The sequence below is a fragment of the Homo sapiens genome, chromosome 11, assembly GCF_000001405.40.
Source record: "Homo sapiens chromosome 11, GRCh38.p14 Primary Assembly".
Classification (NCBI taxonomy): domain Eukaryota; kingdom Metazoa; phylum Chordata; class Mammalia; order Primates; family Hominidae; genus Homo; species Homo sapiens.
Genome location: NC_000011.10, coordinates 112,363,351 through 112,385,432, shown reverse-complemented (window position 1 = coordinate 112,385,432; position 22,082 = coordinate 112,363,351). Strand labels below are relative to the sequence as shown.

At 42.3% G+C, this 22,082-nt stretch overlaps 1 annotated feature.

The window, feature by feature from the left end:
- Positions 18,741 to 19,940: an enhancer, noted in NCBI's record as "BRD4-independent group 4 enhancer chr11:112236216-112237415 (GRCh37/hg19 assembly coordinates)". NCBI's record gives its function as "activates an origin of replication core promoter dependent on BRD2, P300/CBP, MED14 and CDK7 cofactors, and independent of BRD4, by STARR-seq in HCT116 cells {active_cell/tissue: HCT116}" and the evidence as "EXISTENCE:reporter gene assay evidence [ECO:0000049][PMID:35650434]".

Below are 22,082 nucleotides of genomic sequence, written 5' to 3'. Positions count from 1 at the left end.
AAACAATTCTATGTTTATAAACTTAACAATCTGATGAAACGGACAAATTCCTTGAAAAACACAAACTTCTAAAACTCATTTAAGAATAAATAAATAGCCTAAATAGTTCTATAAATAAGTAAAATTTGCATTTTAAAGCCCCCCACCAAAAAAAAAAACTTTAGGCACAGATGGCTTCACTAGATAATTTTATCATACATTTAAAGAAGAAATAACAATGCTCTACAAAATCTTTCAGAATATAAAAGAAAAATGAATACTTCCCAATTCATTTTATGGGACCAGTTTTATCCTGATACCAAATAAGACAAATATATAACAAAAAAAACTGTATACCAATATTCTTCATAAATACAAAAGCAACAGTCCTCAAGAAAAAGCAATACTAGCAAATTAAACCCAGCAATAATTAAAAAGGATAACACATAATCAAGTGTGACTTATCCCAGGAATGCAAGGGATGCTTAACATTAAAAAGAAAAAAAATCAATGGATGAAATTCACTATGTCAACAAACTGGAAGAAATACTCTATTAGTTTCCCAGAGATGCCATAACAAATTACTACAAAATGAGTGGCTTAAACCAACAGAAATGTATTCTCTCCAGGTTCTGGAAGCTAGAAGTCTGAAATCAAGGTGTCAGTAGAGCCATGCTCCCTCTGAGGGCTGTAGGGAAGAATTCTTTACTGTGTCTTCAAGTCTCTGTCTCCTTTAAGGACACCCAGTCATTAGATTTAGGGTCCACCCTATTCAATGTCACCTCATCTTAAACTGATTACACTTGCAGTGACCTTATTTCCAATAAGGACACATTTACAGGAACTGGAGATTAGGACTTTTCTATTATTTGAATGATGGTCTCCTGTCCAAAATTCATGTTGAAACGTAATCCCCATTATGGTGGTATTAAGACATGGGGTCATTTTTGGGAAGTGATTAAGGCATAAAGGTGGGGTGCTTGTGAATGGATTAGCATCATATAAAAGAGCTGGAGGAAATTAGCTTAGGCTGTTTTTGCTCTTCCATTCTGCCATGTGAGGACAGTGTTCATTCCCTTTTTGCTTTCTGTCCGTTCAGCCATGCAAGGTCATCTAGATGGTACCATCTCTGAGGAACAGGTTTACAACAGACACCAAACCTGTTGGTGCCTTGATCTTGGACTTTCCAGCTTCCAGAACTGCAAGAATAAATTTCTATTGTTTATCAATTACCCAATCTGGTATTTTGTTATAGCACCACAAATGAACTAAGACAGCCTTCAACAAATATTTTGGGGGTACATAATTCAATCAACAACAAATACGACATAATTATTTCTACAAGTGCAAACAAAGCATTTGAAAAATTCGATATTTAATCATAATAAAATCTCTCAGCAATAGAAGCAATTTTTCTCAACTTGAAAGGCAGCAACTGCAAAAAAACTTCCAGCTATTAACAGACTTACTAGGTAGAGGAAGTTCTCCTGGATAATATCCTGAAGTGTGTTTTCCAGCTTGTTTCCATTCTCCCCATCTCCTTCAGTTACTCCAATCAATCAAAGGTTTGGTCTTTTTATGAAGTCCCATATTGCTTGGAGGTTTTGTTCATTCCTTTCATTCTGTTTTCTCCAGTTTTGTCTGCATGCCTTATTTCACAAGATGGTCTTTAAACTCTGCTACCCTTTCCTCCATTTGGTCAATTCAGCTATTGATACTTGTGTATGCTTCATGAAGTTCTCGTGCTATGTTTTTCAGCTCCTTCAGGTCTACATTTCTCTCTAAACTGGTTTTTCTAGTTAGCAGCTCCTCTAACCTTTTATCAAGGTTCTTAGCTTTTTTGCATTGGGTTAGAACATGCTCCTTTAGCTCAGCGTAGTTTTTATTACCCATCTTCTGAAGCCTACTTCTGTCAATTCATTCATCTCATCCTCCATCCAGTTTTGCACCCTTGCTGGAGAGATGCTGCGATCATTTGGAGGAGAAGAGACACTGTGGCTTTTTGGGTTTTCAGCGTTTTTTTCATTGATTCTTTCTCATCTTCGTGAGTTTGTCTAGTTTCGATCTTTGAGGCTGCTGACCCTTGGATGGGGTTTTTGTGGGGGTTTTTTGTTGTTGTTTATGCTGTTGTTGTTGCTTTCTGTTTGTTTTTCTTTCAATGGTCAGGTCAGTCTTCTGTAGGGCTGCTGCAGTTTGCTGGAGGTTCACTACAGGCCCTATTCATCTGGTTTGCTCCCGTGTCTGGAGATGTCACTCAAGGAGGCTGGAGAACAGTAAAGATGGGTTCCTGCTCCATCTTCTGGGATCTGTGACCTCGAGGGGCACCAACCTAATGCCAGTAGGATCACTCCTGCATAGGGTGTCTGACAACCCCCGCTAGAGGGTCTCACCCAGTTGAGTGGTAGAGGGAACAGGACCCATTTAGCAAAGCACTTTGTCCCTTGGTGGAGGAGGTGTGCTTCGCTGGGGGGAAACCCACTCCTCTGGGCTGCCCAGATTCCTCAGAACTACCACGAGGAAAGGCTAACAGAGACTGTGGCCAACCCTCCCCCTAGGGGCTCAGGCCCAGGGAGATCAGGGTTCTGTCTCTGAGCCTGTGGCTGGGGTTATTGGAGTTCCTGCAGGGAAGCCCCGCCCAGTGAGGAAAGATGAGTCTGGGTTAGGCCTGAAGAGGCACTCTGGCCACAGTATGCCACAGCCCACGTGTTGGGCTGTGAGAGACAAGTCTTGGGACCAAACCATCCAGCCTCCCTGGCTCCAGCAGGGGAAAAGCACAGCCTGGAGCTAGAGATGAATGCCGCCCTCCCCCAACCCAGGGAGCTTAGCATGTTAGGCAGTTGTGAGCCCCCGTGCTGGCTGCTGCCCCTCCTGCAAGGAAGTATGAAGGCAATTCAATGGATGAAAGATAGTCTTCCACACAAATGGTGCTGGAACAAATTGCACATCCATATGCGAAAAAAAAGAACCTCTATCCATCCGTTGCATCATATACGCAATTTATTTTCAATAAAGGATTATATGAAAAGATAAAGGAACTAGAATAGACAAAACAATTTTGAGGCCGGGCACAGTGGCTCACGCCTGTAATCCCAGCACTTTGGGAGGCCGAGGCGGGCAGATCAGGAGGTCAGGAGATCGAGACCATCCTGGCTAATGCGGAGAAACCCTGTCTCCACTAAAAATACAAAAAATTAGCCGGGCGTAGTGGCGGATGCCTGTAGTCCCAGCTACTCGGGAGGCTGAGGCAAGAGAATGGCATGAACCCAGGAGGTAGAGCTTGCAGTGAGCGGAAATAGCGCCACTGCACTCCAGCCTGGGCGACAGAGCGAGACTCCGTCTCAAAAAAAAATTTTTTTGAAAAAGAACAAAGTTTGAGAAATCACACTGCCTGATATCAAGACTTATTATAAAGCCACAGTGATCAAGACAGTGTGATACTGGAAAAAAGGATAGACATAGTGGTGTGCTGCAGCCAACTCATACCAGCTCATCAGAGCCAATGTCAGATTTTCAGAAGTTTTACAGGCTAGTTGTTGTCACACTGATTGCTTGAAATTATGCACTGTAAGAATACATTAAAAGCAGAACTCAGCAAACAACTACAAATCAAGACTTCCCTCCCCACCACCCGCCCCAGAGTCAGTTCTTAAACATTTACCAGCAGCCAGGCCACGGTGGCTCATGCCTGTAATTCTAGCTGAGGTCAGCAGATCGCTCGAGCTCAGGAGTTCTAGACCAGCCTGGGCAACATGGTGAAACACCGTCTATACAAAAAATCAGCCAGGCATGGTGGCACATTAAAATAATTTTTTATTTTTAAAATAATTTTTTAGCTGATAATATCAGGGGCTGGTGAGACTGCAGAGCAACTGGAACTCTCATACATTGCTGGTGGAAATGCAAAATGGTACACTTTGCAAAGCAGCCTGGAAGTCTTATAAAATGAAACATACTTTCACCATACAACCCAGCAATCCCACTGCCAGGCATTTACCCAAATGAACCAGAAATTTAAACTTCCAGAAAAACCTGTATGCAAATGCTTAGAGAGCAACTTTATAACTGCCAAAAATTGGAAAGTATCACACATCATTTATCTGTTGCATATGGATGACAAACTGCAGAATATTCATAATAAAGGAGTCCTATTCAGTATTAAAAATAATGAGCTACTAACACACACCACATGAATTAATCTCAAATGCATTATGCTAAGTGAAAGAAGCCAGACTCAAAGGCTACATACAATATGATTTATTTACATGCCATTCCAAAAAGGCAAAAAGTTTAGAAACAGAAATCAGTGGTTAACAGGGACTGGGGGTAAGGAAATAGGTTGGTACAGAGGAATTAGTTGGAGTGAAAAAAAAAAAACATTTTTACATCTTGACTACGGTGGAGGTTAAACCACTGCATGTGTTTGCCAAAGCATGCAGAATTGCGTATTAATACACTTGAGTTTTACTATGTATACATTATTTCTTAATGAAAAAAAGTTCAATTTTTAAGGAAAAGGTCACTTTGGCTGTCGGGTTGGAAATAGATTGTAGGGCAAAGGATAGAAGCAGGGGACCATTAGGAGACTACTGCAGTAGCCCAGGTGAGGGATGACAGTGACTTGGACCAAAAGTGGCTGTGGAATCTGGCAGTATGTAAGGTTCATCGGTGACCCTTGTGGAGGAAGTTTCAGTGAGGAGGCCAAGGGAAAGGCAGCCTGCAAGGGCCGAAAGTGGGAGGTGAGCATGCGCAAACAGCGCCGGATCCCTCGCTACTCTTTCAGGAAGCCTGCACGGACCTGCCCCTGGATAAGCCCAGACTCTGAGCTGGGCCTCAGCCTAGGGTGACCAACCATCCCAGTTTACCTGGGACTTTCCTGTTTTTAACACTGGAAGTTCTGCCTCCAGGAAAACCCCTCAGTCCAAGGCACACCCGGAAAGCTGGTCACCTATGCCTGGTCCCCGGCCAGCCCCTATGGTCACCCTGCAGTTCTGCTGTCCCTATAGGGTGATGTCCCTGCCTTCCATTACAAGCCTCTGAGCTCCTGCTAGTGATACTGCTCACTGATGCAGGGATGCGGAAATGCTCAGGAACAGGAGGGACATTGTGCTGCTTGGATGCCACCTTATGAAGGCTGTTCCATGACTCCCAGTATTGGGAATAAATAAATGAATGGTTTTGTCACTCCACTACCACCAAGTCAGGAGCACTGAGCTAGGAACACGCATTTCACCCCCCATTATGCTTCTGAAATGCCTGTCTTGAAAAAGATTAATCAGTTTTTGCATTGGTCTTGTCCTTCTATCTTCGCAGCTTTGAATACAGAAAAGCACTTCCTCCTACTTAAGATCTCTCCTTTGTTGCCTCCATACTCCTCTCTTCCGTGTCTCCTCCTGCCTTTCTGATATGTGTTTCTCAATCTCTTTCATGGCCTGATAAAGCATGAACCTTCCTCATACACGCTGGTGAGGCAGGCCAGGGTCATGTTTGAGTGCCTGGACATTAACATCAAATGGGACCAGGACTTGAATCCCAGATTTGCCTCTTTCTGGAATTGCAGCCTTTGACACATTACTCCTCTGACCTTCATGTTTCTCCCCTGTAAAATGGGTCTAATGAATTCTACCTCATTAGATTGCTATGAGAACAAAATTAAATGAGATTATGCATCAAGGGAAAAAGCTCAGCACAATACTTGGAACAGAGCAAAGCAACAAATAAAAGCTGTTGTTGGTGTTCCCAACAGTAATGTTCAACAATAGGGAAGTGGTTAATAAATTAGGCTACATACACCATGATTTATTTGTAGAATACTATATGATACAGCCATTAAAAATAATGTTCTGAAGAATACTTAATGGCACAGCAAAATGTTCACAATATAATTTTAAGAGAAAAAAATCGGGCTATAAAACTCAAGTCTCAATTCTGTTCTTAAAAGAAAGTATGAGTGAGTGTGTGTGTGTGTGTGTGTGTGTGTGTGTGTGTTATGCATGTATTTAGAAAAAAGAACTAAGAAGAAATATAGCAATATAGCAAAAATGTTGGCTGGTTAGCCTTTCTTTTTTACTTCTTCTTTATAGTCTTCTGTATTTTTACATTTTCTCTAATAACATGTATAGCTGACCCTTCATATCTGCAGGTTCTGCATCTGTGAATTCAACAGAGGATCAAAATATTTGGAAAAAAATAAAAAATAATATAAATTATAAACATTTACATAACATTTACAGTGTATTAGGTATTGTAAGCATCCAGAGATGATTTAAAGTATATGGGAAGGCCAGGGGCAGTGGCTCATGCCTGTAATCCCAGCACTTTGGGAGGCCGAGGCTGGAGGATCACTTACGATCAGGAGTTCAAGACCAGCCTGGCCAACATGGTGAACCCCCATCTCTACTAAAAAACAAAATTAGCTGGATGTGGTGGCACAAGCCTGTAATCCCAGCTACATGGGAGGCTGAGGCAGGAGAATCGCTTGAATCCAGGAGGCGGAGGTGGCAGTGAGCCGAGATCACGCCACTGCAATCCAGCCTGTGCGACAGAGCGAGACTCCATCTCAAATAAATAAATAAATAAATAAAGTATATGGGAAAATGTGCTTAGGTTATATGCAAATAAATACTACACCATTTTATATTAGGTACTTGAGCATCCTTGGACTTTGGTACCCAAGGGAGGTCCTGGAATCAATTCCCCATGGTTACTGAGGGACAACTGTCTTATTCTCATAACAATAGATGTTATTTTAACATTTCCATCATCAACTTATTTATTCAACAAAGATTTTTTTTCTGGCATATACTGTGTGCCAAGCAATATTCTAGACCCTGAGGATACTGTGTTGAAAAAGTCAACAGGCAGAATTTTCTTAAAACACCCTCTAGCCTTGCATTTAATTCCCCTTAATTGTTTTATGTATTAATTTTGTCTCCAACACTAAATTGTTTACTCCTCAAGGGAAGAGACTTTGTGTTTCCCTTCTCTGTAACCCTATATCACTCCCTGAATACAGGAAGAACTCAGTAACAGATTTCACTTCAGCAACGGGGGCTTGATTGAAATGGCCAGTTTTCTGGAATCAGTTACTATAGAAAGAAAAGAGAAGAGGTGCCTTCCTATGTTGGGTTGGTATCTGCCCTCTTCTTCCATTGTCTTGGGAATGATGAGGTTGAACATTAAAGACTGCCACCTCCACTGGGTTTTCTGACAGCACAGGAGCCAAACGGCTGGCCTGGCCTTTTGTCAAGGGAGCTTCTCTTTCTTCAAGCACCATATCATACACAACACACCTGCCTTTTTGAACGTTAAGCAACTTGAGAGCATGGCAGATGATCATGTCCTCTTATATCAGGAGATCTTTTTTTGTGTGTGTGAGACAGAGTCTCGCTCTGTTGCCCATGCTGGAGTGCAGTGGCACAATTTCGGTTCACTGCAACCTCCACCTCCTGGGTTCAGCAATTTTCATGCCTCAGCCTCCCAAGTAGCTGGGACTACAGGCACATGCCACCATGCCTGGCTAATTTTTGTATTTTTAGTAGAGATGGGGTTTCACCATGTTGGCCAGGCTAGTCTGAAACTCCTGACCTCAAGTGATCCACCCGCCTTGGCCTCCCAAAGTGCTGGGATTACGGGCCTGAGCAACTGTGCGGGGCCATCAGTTCTTTACTGTTTTTACATAGTGGATTCCTTGGGCAATCTGGTGAAGCCTACAGACCTTTCTTAAAATAATGTTTTTTGATGCATAAAATAAAGGCGTAGGATTACAAGGAAAACCAAGCGTGTATACTGAAGTACAATTACCAAAATAGTATGTTTAAAATATATATTACATAGTAACAGATTTGCTTCTTTGAACCACATTTAAAAAAATAAGACATTGCACTTGAAATACAGGCAAATTGAAGTTAAATTTTGTTTTTTAAAAGACATACCCATATAAAGGCTGCTTTGCCTAGTTTGAATAAGAATATGAGACAGCGGGATGTCTTTGATGAGATAATACACTTGTCATGCTGGACATCCAATTGATTTTGATTTTTTCTAGTAACAACATTAAAACTCCAATCCTCAAAGATATATTGTTGAAAATGGAATTAAAGCTTTTACGGCTCCTTTGCAAAGTAGACAGATGTTTCTGTCAAGGAGCACCAAAACTCTCCAAGACTTTTTAGCTAAACTCTAGTTGTAGCTGTTTTCCATCCCAAGATCAATGTTCGCCATCTTTGGCTAGGCAAACACCTTTGAGACAGTTTATATCAACAAGAAAAAGAATGCAATTCTATGGTCCAACTTTGATACCATCAAGATAGAAATAATTTTTAAAGGAGTTCTACAGTGTTTCCAGGTGTTTGTAGATTTCTCTTTTCAGATAAACTGACAGTATTTTGTATGTCAACTTCATTGAGATAAAGCACTTCCTCCAGCATCGCAAAAGTTGGCAAAGATGTCAGCCTGAACTCTCCTTTCATATTGGCAGCTGAGCCAAAAAAGCTGGTAAAGTTTTCAGGATCATTCATAATGGTGGTATCAGGGCCTCGAACTGGAAGGTTCATCTCGTTCAGATGGTTAAAAATATCCGCTGGGTCAGCCAACCCTCAGACAACATTTTTTCTTGCTACATGTTCCAGGAGAGGATTTTCTTTTTCTTTTAGAAAACAGTGAATCTTTCCCCTTGAAAGACAGTAAGCTTCTCTGTGGTAGAGAAGCACTTCATTTTCTGCCATCATTTCTTGACAAAACCTGCAAAAATGCTGTGATTCAGAGACTAGATAAAAGTTGATGACTTTTATGGCTGTTGACAAAACTTCTCTTGGGGTTTTTGAAGAGCCAGAATACGTTTGTGTGAAATGCGGTGAGTGAGAACAACATAGGTGCTCCCTTTTACTCAAGTAGCAAAGTCAGATGCATAGCCACGCATTGCAACAGCACTGTCTGTGCAAGGAAATGAACCTTTTCTGTCGAGTCACTTTTGTTTGACACAAGCAAAACAAAACAAAAAACCTTTATACCATCTGCAAAACATCAGCAGCTTTGTAGTTTCCAAAGGCACTCACAAAAAAAAATCTTTCTTTGTTGAAGTCAGCAGGCACATCATGAACAAAACAGGCAGGTGACTACCTGGAAGGATACCTGGAGTTTCACAGAGTGACGTGGGAGGAATGGCGAGGTGGCCAATTCCTCCATAACTTGCTTCAAGACATGCCTACTCTTCTTCATGGAAGCACCTCATCTGACTAAGGAATCACTTCCAGCTTTTACCTCTTTCTATTCACAAATCTCCATATTCCCAGTGTATGTGGCTTTAGATAAAGTTTCTCCAGTAATGTGAGGCTTTTTCTGTTTGACATCTGGTAAGAAATTTCAAGAATGCTTCAAGAAAAGGTTTTTATGGCAAATCCACATTTTGAAGTATCTGAACTTTTTTCTTTTCCTTTTCCTTTTTCTTTTCTTATTTTTTTTTCGAGGCAGGGTCGAGGTAGAGTACAGTGATGCTATTATTTCTCCCTGCGGCCTTGACCTCCCAGTCTCAAGTGATCCTCCTACCTCAGCCTCCTGAGTAGCTAGGACCACAGGTGCCACACCATCACACCCAGCTAATTAAAAAAAAAATTTTTTAGAATTGGGGTCTTGCTGTATTGCCCAGGCTGCAAGCTTTTCCTAGCTGAACTTCCTTCATACACATGCGCACAAAACTCCTGGGTGTTTTGGATACATCTTCCAGATAGACATAGGTGAGTCCTCTTTCAGTCTCCCTGACTTCAAAATTCCATTCCCAATAATTTTTTTCACAAAAGAAAAAAGTCATTGTGACTTTTTCTGTCCAATCACTTCATTAATGTAAACAAAGCCAAATACACGGTTTTCATCAGGCCTTCCTTTTCTTTTTCCAGCCTGAAGATAAATTGGGTCTGTAAAAAATAAATAATAAATAAAGCTAAAATAAAATGTTTTATGCCACTAACATTCTTTGAAGCATCATATTTTGTTTATGACTCCTAAGTAATTTGTTTGATAGACCTACATAGGAGGCAATCATTTGTATATTAATTAAGTGTCAAATATTTGTTAAATTTTATGACCAGTGAGTAAAATAAGACAGGTTTTATGATTAGCCAAGGTTTAAGTACCGTTAGTATCTTTTAACCTTTGCACAGATGTGGGATTACTGCAGTTGATCACGGGTCCTATCCTCCCTGAAATTTAGCTAGTGCTGCGTGTGACTTCCTACGACTTTTTAGAAATAATGATTCTCATTTCTGATATTGTCATTGTTTCTCACAAAGGTATTTTTTTAGATATGTGGTATTTTCACACAATAATAGTGCAAGAACATGTGAGTAACATAGTGTGCATGTAAGACTGCATTTCATATCACAGACATTGCACAAATACACAGTAAATCCAGAAAAAAAATAAAGAGGACTTCTGCTTCTCCCAGAGCTTATCGCACCGTGCACGACCTGCATCACCATGCAATCTGTCAGCAATCACAAGAAGTTGCTTTAAATAACACACTCCGACAGTTCACTCAGCAATCAGAAATATTCCAACTCAGCTGTGCCACCCAAGGTGGCACTGCCTACGGAGAGTTAAAAATTCAAGTCGGAACAGTTCAGATTGCAAAACTTCAGCAAACCATAAAAAGGACTCAACTACCTCGCAAATTCATCCACAAACAATTCAGTTAAGAGATGCTGGAAGGTCTGGGTCACCTAGAGGAAAACACTCAGATCCGCTGCTTTGATGGCTGCCCTGCTGAGGCACCAAGTTGCCACAAGTGGCCAGATGTAGAGCAGGAGAGTCTGTGAGGAATTCTGAGCTCACATGCTGTCTAGCAGCCAGTCTGATAGCTACTGTGATTTCAAAATAGTGGTGGGTGTTAATGACATTTCCAGATATCTACAACAACTGTAATGTGATGTGAAAACATTTGCGAATTCTATTAATGACAAAATCACAGTTAGAGCTAATATGACCGGTTTGTTGCCACATTTGTAATTGAAGGAAATGCTACATTTCACATAGAAGATAGTAAAAAAAAATATAGCTATAATTTTTCTCTACCCAAGTTCATGGAGCCTCTGGCTCCTGTTCCACAGACCCCTCAGCAGTGGAGTGGCAATCTACAGACTCAAGTTAAGAACTTCTACCTTATATAGCTCAGTGTGGTCCCAAGAGAGTGGTTCCCAAATTTCAGGTAAGAGAAATGCAAAACAGTAAATGTTTATAATGCTAAACTTATGAAACACAAGGTTTCTTTCTTCTTTGCTTTTAAGGTGTTCTTCCTGATACCAAAGCCTGGCAGAGACACAACAAAAAAAGAGAATTTTAGACCAATATCCCTGATGAACATCAATGCAAAAATCCTTAATAAAATACTGTTAAACCGAATCCAGCAGCACATCAAAAAGCTTATCCACCATGATCAAGTGGGCTTCATCCCTGGGATGCAAAGCTGGTTCAACATACGCAAATCAATAAATGTAGTCCAGCATATAAACGGAACCAAAGACAAAAACCACATGATTATCTCAATAGATGCAGAAAAGGCCTTCGACAAAATTCAACAGCCCTTCATGCTAAAAACTCTCAATAAATTAGGTATTGATGGGACGTATCTAAAAATAACAAGAGCTATTTATGACAAACCCACAGCCAATATCATACTGAATGGGCAAAAACTGGAAGCATTCCCTTTGAAAACTGGCAGAAGACAGGGATGCCCTCTCTCACTACTCCTATTCAACATAGAATTGGAAGTTCCAGCCCGAGCAATCAGGCAGGAGAAAGAAATAAAGGGTATTCAATTAGGAAAAGAGGAAGTCAAATTGTCCCTGTTTGTAGATGACATGATTGTATATCTAGAAAACCCCATCGTCTCAGCCCAAAATCTCCTTAAGCTGATAAGCAACTTCAGCAAAGTCTCAGGATACACAACTAATGTGCAAAAATCACAAGCATTCTTATACACCAATAACTGACAAACAGAGAGCCAAATCATGAGTGAACTCCCATTCACAATTGCTTCAAAGAGGATAAAATACCTAGGAATCCAACTTACAAGAGATGTGAAGGACCTCTTCAGGGAGAACTACAAACCACTGCTCAACAAAATAAAAGAGGACACAAACAAATGGAAGAAGATTCCGTGCTCATGGATAGGAAGAATCAATATGTGAAAATGGCCATACTGCCCAAGGTAAATTATAGATTCAATGCCATCCTCATCAAGTTACCAATGACTTTCTTCACAGAATTGGAAAAAACTACTTTAAGGTTCATATGGAACCAAAAAAGAGCCCACATTGCCAAGTCAATCCTAAGCCAAAAGAACAAAGCTGGAAGCATCACGCTACCTGACTTCAAACTGTATTACAAGGCTACAGTAACCAAAACAGCATGGTACTGGTACCAAAAAAGAGATATAGACCAATGGAACAGAACAGAGCCCTCAGAAATAATGTCGCGTATCTAAAACTATCGGATCTTTGACAAACCTGACAAAAACAAGAAATGGGGAAAGGATTCCCTATTTAATAAATGGTGCTGTGAAAACTGACTAACCATATATAGAAAGCTGAAACTGGATCCCTTCCTTACACCTTATACAAAAATTAATTTAAAATGGATTAAAGACTTAAATGTTAGACCTAAAACCATAAAAACCCTAGAAGAAAACCGAGGCAATGCCATTCAAGACATAGGCATGGGCAAGGACTTCATGTCTAAAACACCAAAAGCAATGGCAACAAAAGCCAAAATTGATAAATGGGATCTAATTAAACTAAAGAGCTTCTGCACAGCAAAAGAAACTACCATCAGAGTGAACAGGAAACCTACAGAATGGGAGAACATTTTTGCAACCTACTCATCTGACAAAGGGCTAATATCCAGAATCTACAAAGAACTCAAATAAATTTACAAGAAAAAAACAAACAACCCCATCAAAAAGTGGGCAAAGGATATGAACAGACACTTCTCAAAAGAAGACATTTATGCAGCCAAAAGACACATGAAAAAATGCTCATCATCACTGGTCATCAGAGAAATGCAAATCAAAACCAAAATGAGATACTATCTCACACCATTTACAATGGCGATCATTAAAAAGTCAGGAAACAACAGGTGCTGGAGAGGATGTGGAGAAATAGGAACACTTTTACACTGTTGGTGGGACTGTAAACTAGTTCAACCATTGTGGAAGTCAGTGTGGCAATTCCTCAGGGATCTAGAACTAGAAATACCATTTGACCCAGCCATCCCATTTCAGGGTATATACCCAAAGAATTATAAATCATGCTGCTATAAAGACACACGCACACGTGTGTTTACTGCGGCACTATTCACAATAGCATAGACTTGGAACCAACCCAAATGTCCAACAATGATAGACTGGATTAAGAAAATGTGGCACATATACACCATGGAATACTATGCAGCCGTAAAAAATGATGAGTTCATGTCCTTTGTAGGGACATGGATGAAGCTGGAAACCATCACTCTCAGCAAACTATCATGAGGACAAAAAAAACAAACACCGCATGTTCTCACTCATGGGTGGGAATTGAACAATGAGAACACTTGGACACAGGAAGGGGAACATCACACCCCGGGGCCTGTTGTGGGGTGGAGGGATGGGGGAGGGAGAGCATTAGGAGATATACCTAATGTAAAATACACACCAACGTGGCACATGTATACATATGTAACAAACCTGCACGTTGTGCACATGTACCCTAGAACTTAAAGTATAATAAAAATATATATATATAAATAAAAATAAAAATAAATTTAAAAAATAAAATTACTTTTCTCTCAAAAAAACAAAAGATGTGCTTCTAATGAAATGATAGAGACAACAGATGATAATTTTTTAAATATTTACTAGGTGAAAATGAAAAGTCAGCAATCCTATGTCAGTTCCCCCACCCACTCTTTGTATTGTGTTTATTGATCTAAGAAATTCAAAATCTGAGATGTGTTCGTCCAGGACAGTGTGACAAACCCAATGAGCCCCCATGTCTAGTTCCCCTAACAGGACCCTGGGTTAGTTCATTTGTCCACTTTTCAGAGAAGATGGCCCCATTTGCAGTCCATGGTGAAATTCTTAGCAGTCTACACCTTCACAGTCATCCCATTTTCCTGGCAGAGCACATAACTTGACTGTCTAGCCAGGTGAGCCTGAGAAGGATGTGGTTGTGACTGGGTGTCTGGTGCCTGGAAATGCCAAGGTCACCTTGCTACCACCAGGCAAGCTGGCCCCAGTGGGAGTCAGCAGAGTGAAGAGAGGGAGGGAGCCTGGGTTCTTGGTGACATCACAGAGCTGATTCTACCACCAGGGCAAGTGCTATCACCCGTGGACTTCCTGCCATGTGAGATGATTTCTAATTATTTACAACCATTGAGTTGGGGGATTTCTTACCACGCAAGTGAAGTCATCATCACTGATATACCTAGACACCTTGGGAAGCATTAAGAAGGGACATTACCTCTAAAGCACAGGTTCCTAAACCAGGGTATCAAATGTGCTTGCCCATCCCAGTTTATGTAGATTATGCCTCCTACAACCCCTAATTCAATCCATCCCCCCATGTCTTGCTGATTTTACCTCCTAAATATCCCACTGATCCTTCCTATTCTTTCCATCTCCTTTGCCAACTCTAGCCCAGCTACTGCCAGCTCTTGTTTGGTCTAAGGCATCAGCCCACCAACTCCCACCAGAGCCTCTTCCAAACAGCAGCCAGAGGGACTTTGTTTTAGTGCAGATCCACTCACATTGCTTTCCTGATTAAAATCCTGATTAAAACCTTTATTTTAAGTGCAACAGAAAACTTTTTAAGTTTTCTTAACTTAAGTAGCAAACTACTTAATTACCTACAAAGCCCTAGAGAACCTGGCCCTCCATACCCTCCTCCAGCTCCAGCCGCACTGGCCCTCCCCATCACTTTCCTTCCTGTGTCTGGTTAAAGCATTCAGATCCCACAGAGGTCAGCTCAGAAATCATTTCCTTAAAGAAAACTTTAATGACCACATTCTCTGCCAGCCTCAGGCTGGACCCCCAGTAATACTCTCACAGCCCTCCATCAAGCCCTTCCAAGGATTCAATGCGATCTTATTGTTTCACCATTGAATTCCCAGACCCTAATACAACGTAGGTGTTCAAAAAGTATTTGTGAAAGGAACAGATGGATCTTCACAAACAATCCCAGATACACCTAGGTAGTAGCTTGTCCCCAAGGTGTATCTGGCTTCATAAGCAGTGCACAGAAGCCCTCTTCACAGCTCCCTGTGTTCTGCTCACAGACACAGCAGCTTGCCCTTGACTACTCCCTCTCGAGGGAGGGAGGTGTGTGCCTCCTACCGTGCTTCTAACGGTGGCCCAGTATTTCCCACCCACACTTTTTCTGTATCGTGGAAGGAAGCAATATTGCATAATGCATATTATGAATTAAATGTTAGTGTCCTCCCAAAATTCTTATGTTGAAGTCCTAACCCCCTTTTGTGTTGGCATTAAGAGGTGCAGCCTGTAGAAAACAATAGGTTCAGCTGAAGTCCTGAGGGTGGAGCTCCCATCATGAGATTAGTGTCCTTATGAGAAGAGTAAAAGACTCTCTCTCTCTCTCTCCCACCTGCTCCCCTACCCTCACTCCCCATTATGGAAAGATAGAGCAAGAAGGCACCCATCTACAAACCAGGACAGCCCTCATCAGATTCTGCTGGGATCTTGATCTTGGACCTCCCAACCTCCAGAACTGTGAGAAATGTCTGTTGTTTAAGCAACCCAGCCTGTGGTATTTTATTATAGCAGACCAAGCACACAAAGATAATGCACTAAAGGTGTGGGCGACAGAATCAGACACATGGACTCATTCCAGTTCTGCCACTTCCCAGTTGTGTTTCCCAGGGCTAAGTTCATAACACCTCTAAGCCTCAGTTCCTCATCTGGGATAATAAAAGCATGAACCTCACACAGTTGCCATGAAGATTAAATGAGATCATATATGTAAAGCTCTTAGCAAAGTGCCTGGCACATGGTCTAAACATTCAGCAATGGGTGTCTTCACTCTTACTTGAATTACTGCCATAGAACTGAAACAGAGTCTTAGAGATCATCTACAGTTGACCCTTGGCCAACACAAGGGCCAGGAGTGCTGACCCCTGCCCCCACACAGTTGAAAATCCACATATAACTTTTGACTCCCTCAAAACTTAACACCCTTAAAACTTAACTGATAGACTACAATTGGTTGGAAGCCTTACTAGTAACATAAACAACACATATTTTGTATGGCATATGTATCATATACTGTATTCTTACAATAAAGTAAGCTAGAGAAAAGAAAATGTTAAGAAAATCATAAGGAGAAGAAAACACATTAAATATTCATTAAGTGGAAGTGGATCATCAAAAAGGTCTCCATCCTCAAGTCTTCATGCTGAGTAGGCTGAAGAGGAGGAGGAAAAGGAGGTCTTGCTGTCTCAGGGGTATTTTATGGAAGTAAATGATAAAAGAGACTAGTATCTACACATATTTTATGCATTCATGACATACCTTTTTCTTAATTTTTTTGGCATTTCTAGGCCATGCGGCTCATCTGTGAGCCTTTTCAAATTGTTGTACATTTCCCCCGCAAAAATAATCCCAATATGTTCGTTGAACAAAATCTGTGTAAAAGTGGACCTATGCAGCTCAAACCCACATCATTCAAGGGTCAACCATAGTAAACAAGCTGATTTCACAGAAGAGGAAACATGCTCCAAAGGGGCTCCAGCGGCAGAAGCAGCAGGAGGAGGCTGGCTGGTGACTCCTACCTGGTGCAGTTTCCATCAGAACCTGGACCCACCCTGATTCTCTGTGCTCTGATGACTCAGGGCCCTCCCAGGACTCAGAGAGAGTCTGCAGAAGGAGCAGTCAGGTGATTCTCTCCCCTGGACACATGGTGAGTTGAGATATTTATTGAATAAATGCAGAGAAGACCAGACCAGAGGGGTGCTTCTTGGCCCTAAGAGAACATGTATTCCCCCAGAAACATAAAGGGGCACCACCCAGGAGAATTAATTAATCCAGTACTGTTCATCTCTTTCAACAGGCCTTCCTGGGAAGGTCATTCCAGACTGTTTATTAGTTAGGCTTTCTTTCCACACTATGGTAGCTTTCTCCCCTTCCCGAGATCCACGCAGATGAATTTCCTGCTAATGGCATCCTCATCATGCCGATACCCAAAGGTTATTTTGCAAAGATGCAATTCAGAAATAGCTTTACATGTGCACGCATCTGAACAAAAAATATACTCCTTGATGCCTGCCTGATGCTTCAGCTGAGGGCAGCTGCTTGACAACAGCTTGACAACAGGGAAGATGAGAGAGAGATGCAGAGAAAGGAAAAGAGAGAGAGAGAAAGAGCCTAAGGAGTGTGGATACCAATGGGAGCAACACAATCAATCACTTCTAAAGGGCGCATTTGCCCTGGAGAAAAGGTTTAAGGAAATAAGCAAGCAGATTTAATGAAAAATTCTGAGTCTATTGATTGAAATCTGTTTGCCTTTTCTTACTATTCAAGAACACGACATTTTTGCATTAGGCAATTGGTTTATGACTTATGTAAATAGAAAACATAAAAACTTTTCAAGAGATGAGAAATTTCAGGAAAGATGTTTCATTCAATTGCTCTGCAGTGCTCCTGTCTCCTTCCCTGTTGTCTTTGTGATAAGACTGGTCCAGGCCCCTTCAGACTGAAGCCCCTCTCTGCTCCACTGCTGATAACGATCACAAACAAAGACAATAAAGAGCTGCTCTCAATATGCATCACACCCACCTCTCTCAGAAGCTGCTCCCTCTGCCTGGAACCCCGCTTCCTCTGGACTCTTTACCATCCTCTTGTCCACCACTGTTAGCCTAGAAGGCAGCATTCCAACACTATCTCCTGCCAGGAGCCTTGTCTGGTGTTCCCACACAGCATTAAGGGGTTCCTCCAGTGGGTTCCAATGGCGTTTTGTTCCCACCCATTGTGACAATGATCACACCGCTGTAACTACCAATTCCAAGACACATTTTCCCCCACATTTTCATGTTTTGATAGGTCAATGGGACCACTCCTATTGTGAAAATGATTACTCTGTTCATACTGCTCAATTTTAAAACACTTTTTTTTCACACTTGAGTGTTTCTGAAACCAGAATGTTTTGCTAATGTGGACACTGAGTGTGGTAGTGTTTCTAACTTTTTTTCTTCTGAAAATCTGTTAGTATATTGAGAGTACATTCTAAGATCAAAGAGCTGTGTTACTTACTTGTGTGTCTTGACTGAGAACTCCTAGGGAGCAGAAACTGTGTTCCAGTCATCTTTGTATCTCCATCCCTTAGCACAAAACAGTTAGGCAGCTATTGCTCAGTAAAGGTTGGAGGGAGTGAGGAATGGGGGGTGGCTTCTTTTTGTGTTGCTATAACAGAATACCACAGGCTGAGTAATTTGTAAACAGAAATTTATTGTCTCACAGTTCTGAAGGCTGAGAAGTCTGAGGTCAAGGCATCAGCAGGTTCGATGTCAGATGAAGACATTCTGTTCTTCCACGATGGTGCCTTGCACGTTGTGTCCTCACATGATGGAAGGCAGGATGAGAGAGAGCCCACTCCCAGAAACCCTTTATATGGCAGCATTAATCCATTCATGAGGGGAGAGCCCTCATGACCTAAACACCTCCCATTAGGTCCCACTTCACAACACTTGCCTTGGGGACTATCTAACACATGACTTTGGGGGGATGCATTCAAACCATACCAGGGAAGAAAGAAAGGAAGAAAAGAAGGAAGAAGGGGGACTCTGTACAATTTAGATATTACCTGCTCACCCCTATCTCATTCATTTGATTTCCCATAAGAAAGCAGTGGGGATTCTCCCCGCAAAGCCTTTCCTCTGGGCTTCCCTCCTTACCGTTCTCTGGGCACTCACCTCTGTGATGGAATATCAGCACAACACAAGGGTAGTCAACAACACAGGGCACACGCTACGATGAGAGAAAACAATCAAGAGGAAAGTTATAGGTTCAGCGTCATTATTCAATTCAGCTTCACCAGCCAGGAGCCAGGAGACCCTTCCACGAACTCTGTATTCCCCAGGTAAGAGCTCACCTCCACACCTTCCACCCATCTCAGCTCCTCCCTGGCCCACCAAGCATGCCCAGATCTGGGCTTTCCCTTACCTATTCCACCCCATTTCTGAAGACTCCAGTCAGCTGATTTCTTCATCTTCCCCAGCTCACGCTCTGCAGTGACATCTTCCCCAACCCCTTCCATCAAGGGCCTGCTCAAGCTTCAGCTCCTCCATGGCTTCTTCCCTGGTGACCCCTCACCATCCTCTGAACAGCACTGGTCATCTGAGCCATACCAATCAGCGCTGTTGACTCTGTGGCTGTTGTTTCATAGCATTTCCCACAGCATAGGGCTATACACAAAATCAGAGCTCAAACACATGACTGAAATGAATTAATACAGCAATTGGCTTTTCTGCAATGCTTCATCCTTTATCATTTCCTTGGTGCATCCTTCCTTCTTCTCCTAGCCCTAACAAATCCCTCTCTCTGAGGCCCCCTTGTTAGCTAAGAATTATGTCCCTTGCCTCTTTTTTTTTCAGGTGTTTTGTTAGAGACACCCTCCAATCACATGGCATGCAGCTCCCCAACATTCGAGCCTACAAGCCAGCCCTGACTTCCCTACAGACATATCTCTGAGCTGGCCTCTCTCCTTGGCTGCTGCACTTTTCTTACAGGTTCTTCTCTATCCTGATCAGAGGAAGCTTCATGGGTTCCTCTCCAATATCTCATACATCAAGGGGACATTAGAAGTGGAAGAAGGGTGTTAAGTTTAAGGTCAGGTTCCAGCCCATGCTGAGGTCCTAAGGGAGTGGGTGGATGAATGGCGGATGGATAGGAAGAACTCTTAGGGGGCCGTAAGTAGGTGAAATGTGGTTTTATTCAGCATCTCTCTTACACTGTCTCCGTCTTGGCTGCTTGCTCCGGTGGCTCCCACATACAGCTGCACAACCAGCTCTCTCTTCAGGGTTAGCAGCTTAACTCTTGCCCTACGGGCACAAGCAAGCCAAGCTGTGTCCTGGCTCCCCCATGTCCGTTTACAAAACAGACAGCTCTGGCTTTCTCTCTCTCTTTCTCTGGACACAAGCATGCCTGTACAGTGTCAGCAGGGAAATTATACCTTTTACAGATGATAGTGGCTCCAAGCCAAGTGATGAGCCTTCCCATGTTATGGCTACATGGCTGTGATTATACAACAAGTGGAGCTATGCTCCTGCGCTATAAACTGGCTGAGTCACGCAGGATGTTTACCTCGGCCTATCCTTGCTTGGCTGCAGTATAGCCATGTTCCTTACAAAAGGCCAGCCACATCACCATGTCAGCTTGTGTGGAATTCATAGCCAACTGACTCTATTAGGTTCTGTTGACATGAGCTGCTGTTAAGTCAGGTTTTTCATCCTTTACAGAAACAACAGATTTTGCGAACCTAAGGAGTGTAATTTAAATTTGTCCCTGTTAAATTTCATCGTGTTAAGCCTGATTGTTCCAGCTGGTGACGATCATGTTGAAGCTTCACTCTGTCCTTTCGATTTCTCAGTAGGGTGGAAACAAACTCAGTGTTTACAGCCTTAATGGGTGGCCTCAATGAAATAATTAACACCATGTCTACATCGGGGCTTTAATTCAGTTCTTGGCCCTGAGATCATAACAAAGCTGGGTCAGCTGAACTGCCTTTTAGGGCTCATTTTCATCACCATAGATAAGATAACCGTTCATTATCTTCTCCCAACCTCACTTCCACTATTAGGCTCCTCCACAGCACTCCCTGTCTCAGTAAATGCACTGCCATCCCACAGGTGGCCACGTCAGGAACTGGGGTTGTGGGGGGAGCGGGTTCCTAATTCCTGTCTCTCCATGAGCCCCACAATTGAATCAGTTCCTTAGCCTTATCAATTGATGATGCCTCCTAAATCAATCCAGTTCCTCAGCCACCAATTTCTCTTACATGTTAGACACGCCTTTGTGCAGGCTTCCTCCTGGCCTGCGTGCTCTTCCCCCTCCTTCATCTATTTATCTTCTACCCTTCAGGTTTCATCTCAAACCTTGCTTCCTCCAGGAAGGCTTCTCTGTCCTGTAGATGAGATCGGAGCCTCCTGCCAGCAGCTTCCGTAACATGGTGCTTTCTCTCTGATTCACCTAACTCACCACACGTTGTTGCTTGTGGAACTCTCCCCAGGTACATCTAAGTTCCCTGAGGATAGAGAAGGATTCTGTTTTGCTCATTGTATCCCTAGCCTACAGTAGATACTCAAAGAATGTTTCTTGAATTATTGCATTAAGTATGGTGCCATGAGTTTGGTTGCACAAGGTTTAAATCACTAGCAAGTGAGTGGGCTCCAGACCCCTAAGGCCTCTGGCATGGGGAAAGCACACCAGCTTTGCCCTCTACGCAGCAGCAGGACCCGGGTGATTCTATGAGCCTCAGTTTCCTCATCTGAAAAGTGAGAGTAAAAACGTATCATATGGGATTGTCACAGGGTCAAAGGAAATTATGCATATGAGTTTGCTCCCAAGCTGAAAAGCATGGTTCAAGCACAGGTCTAACCATAGCCATCCAGTCCCTCTGTGAGTGACTTTGCCCTGGCTTTGGAGGCTGTGCCAAAGTTGCATGGGCTCAACCTTGACCACATGACTCATCAGTGTGGGCTCAGTAAAGTCCAGCAGGTCTTTCTTAATTCCTTCTCAACCCTTTCTGCTATCCTCATTCTTCTGTACTACTGGGCCACTTCCAGAAACTTTCATAACCGCCACTTCTATTGCATTCTCTTGGTGGAGGGTTTAGTGATCCTGAAGGCCCTAGAAATACATGGAATTTAAAACACAAAATGGAGAGCATTGTGCATTTTAGTGAAACAGCAATTAGGAGCAGCAGTCACCATGTACTTGGGAGGGCAAGAGAGCCGAGGAGAAAAGTAATAAAGTGACCTCATAAAGACACTTAATTTCATTACCACCAGACGCAGTTTCCCATTATTGCTCTTGGTGTTTAATGGTTTTATGATTTCATCTATTGATG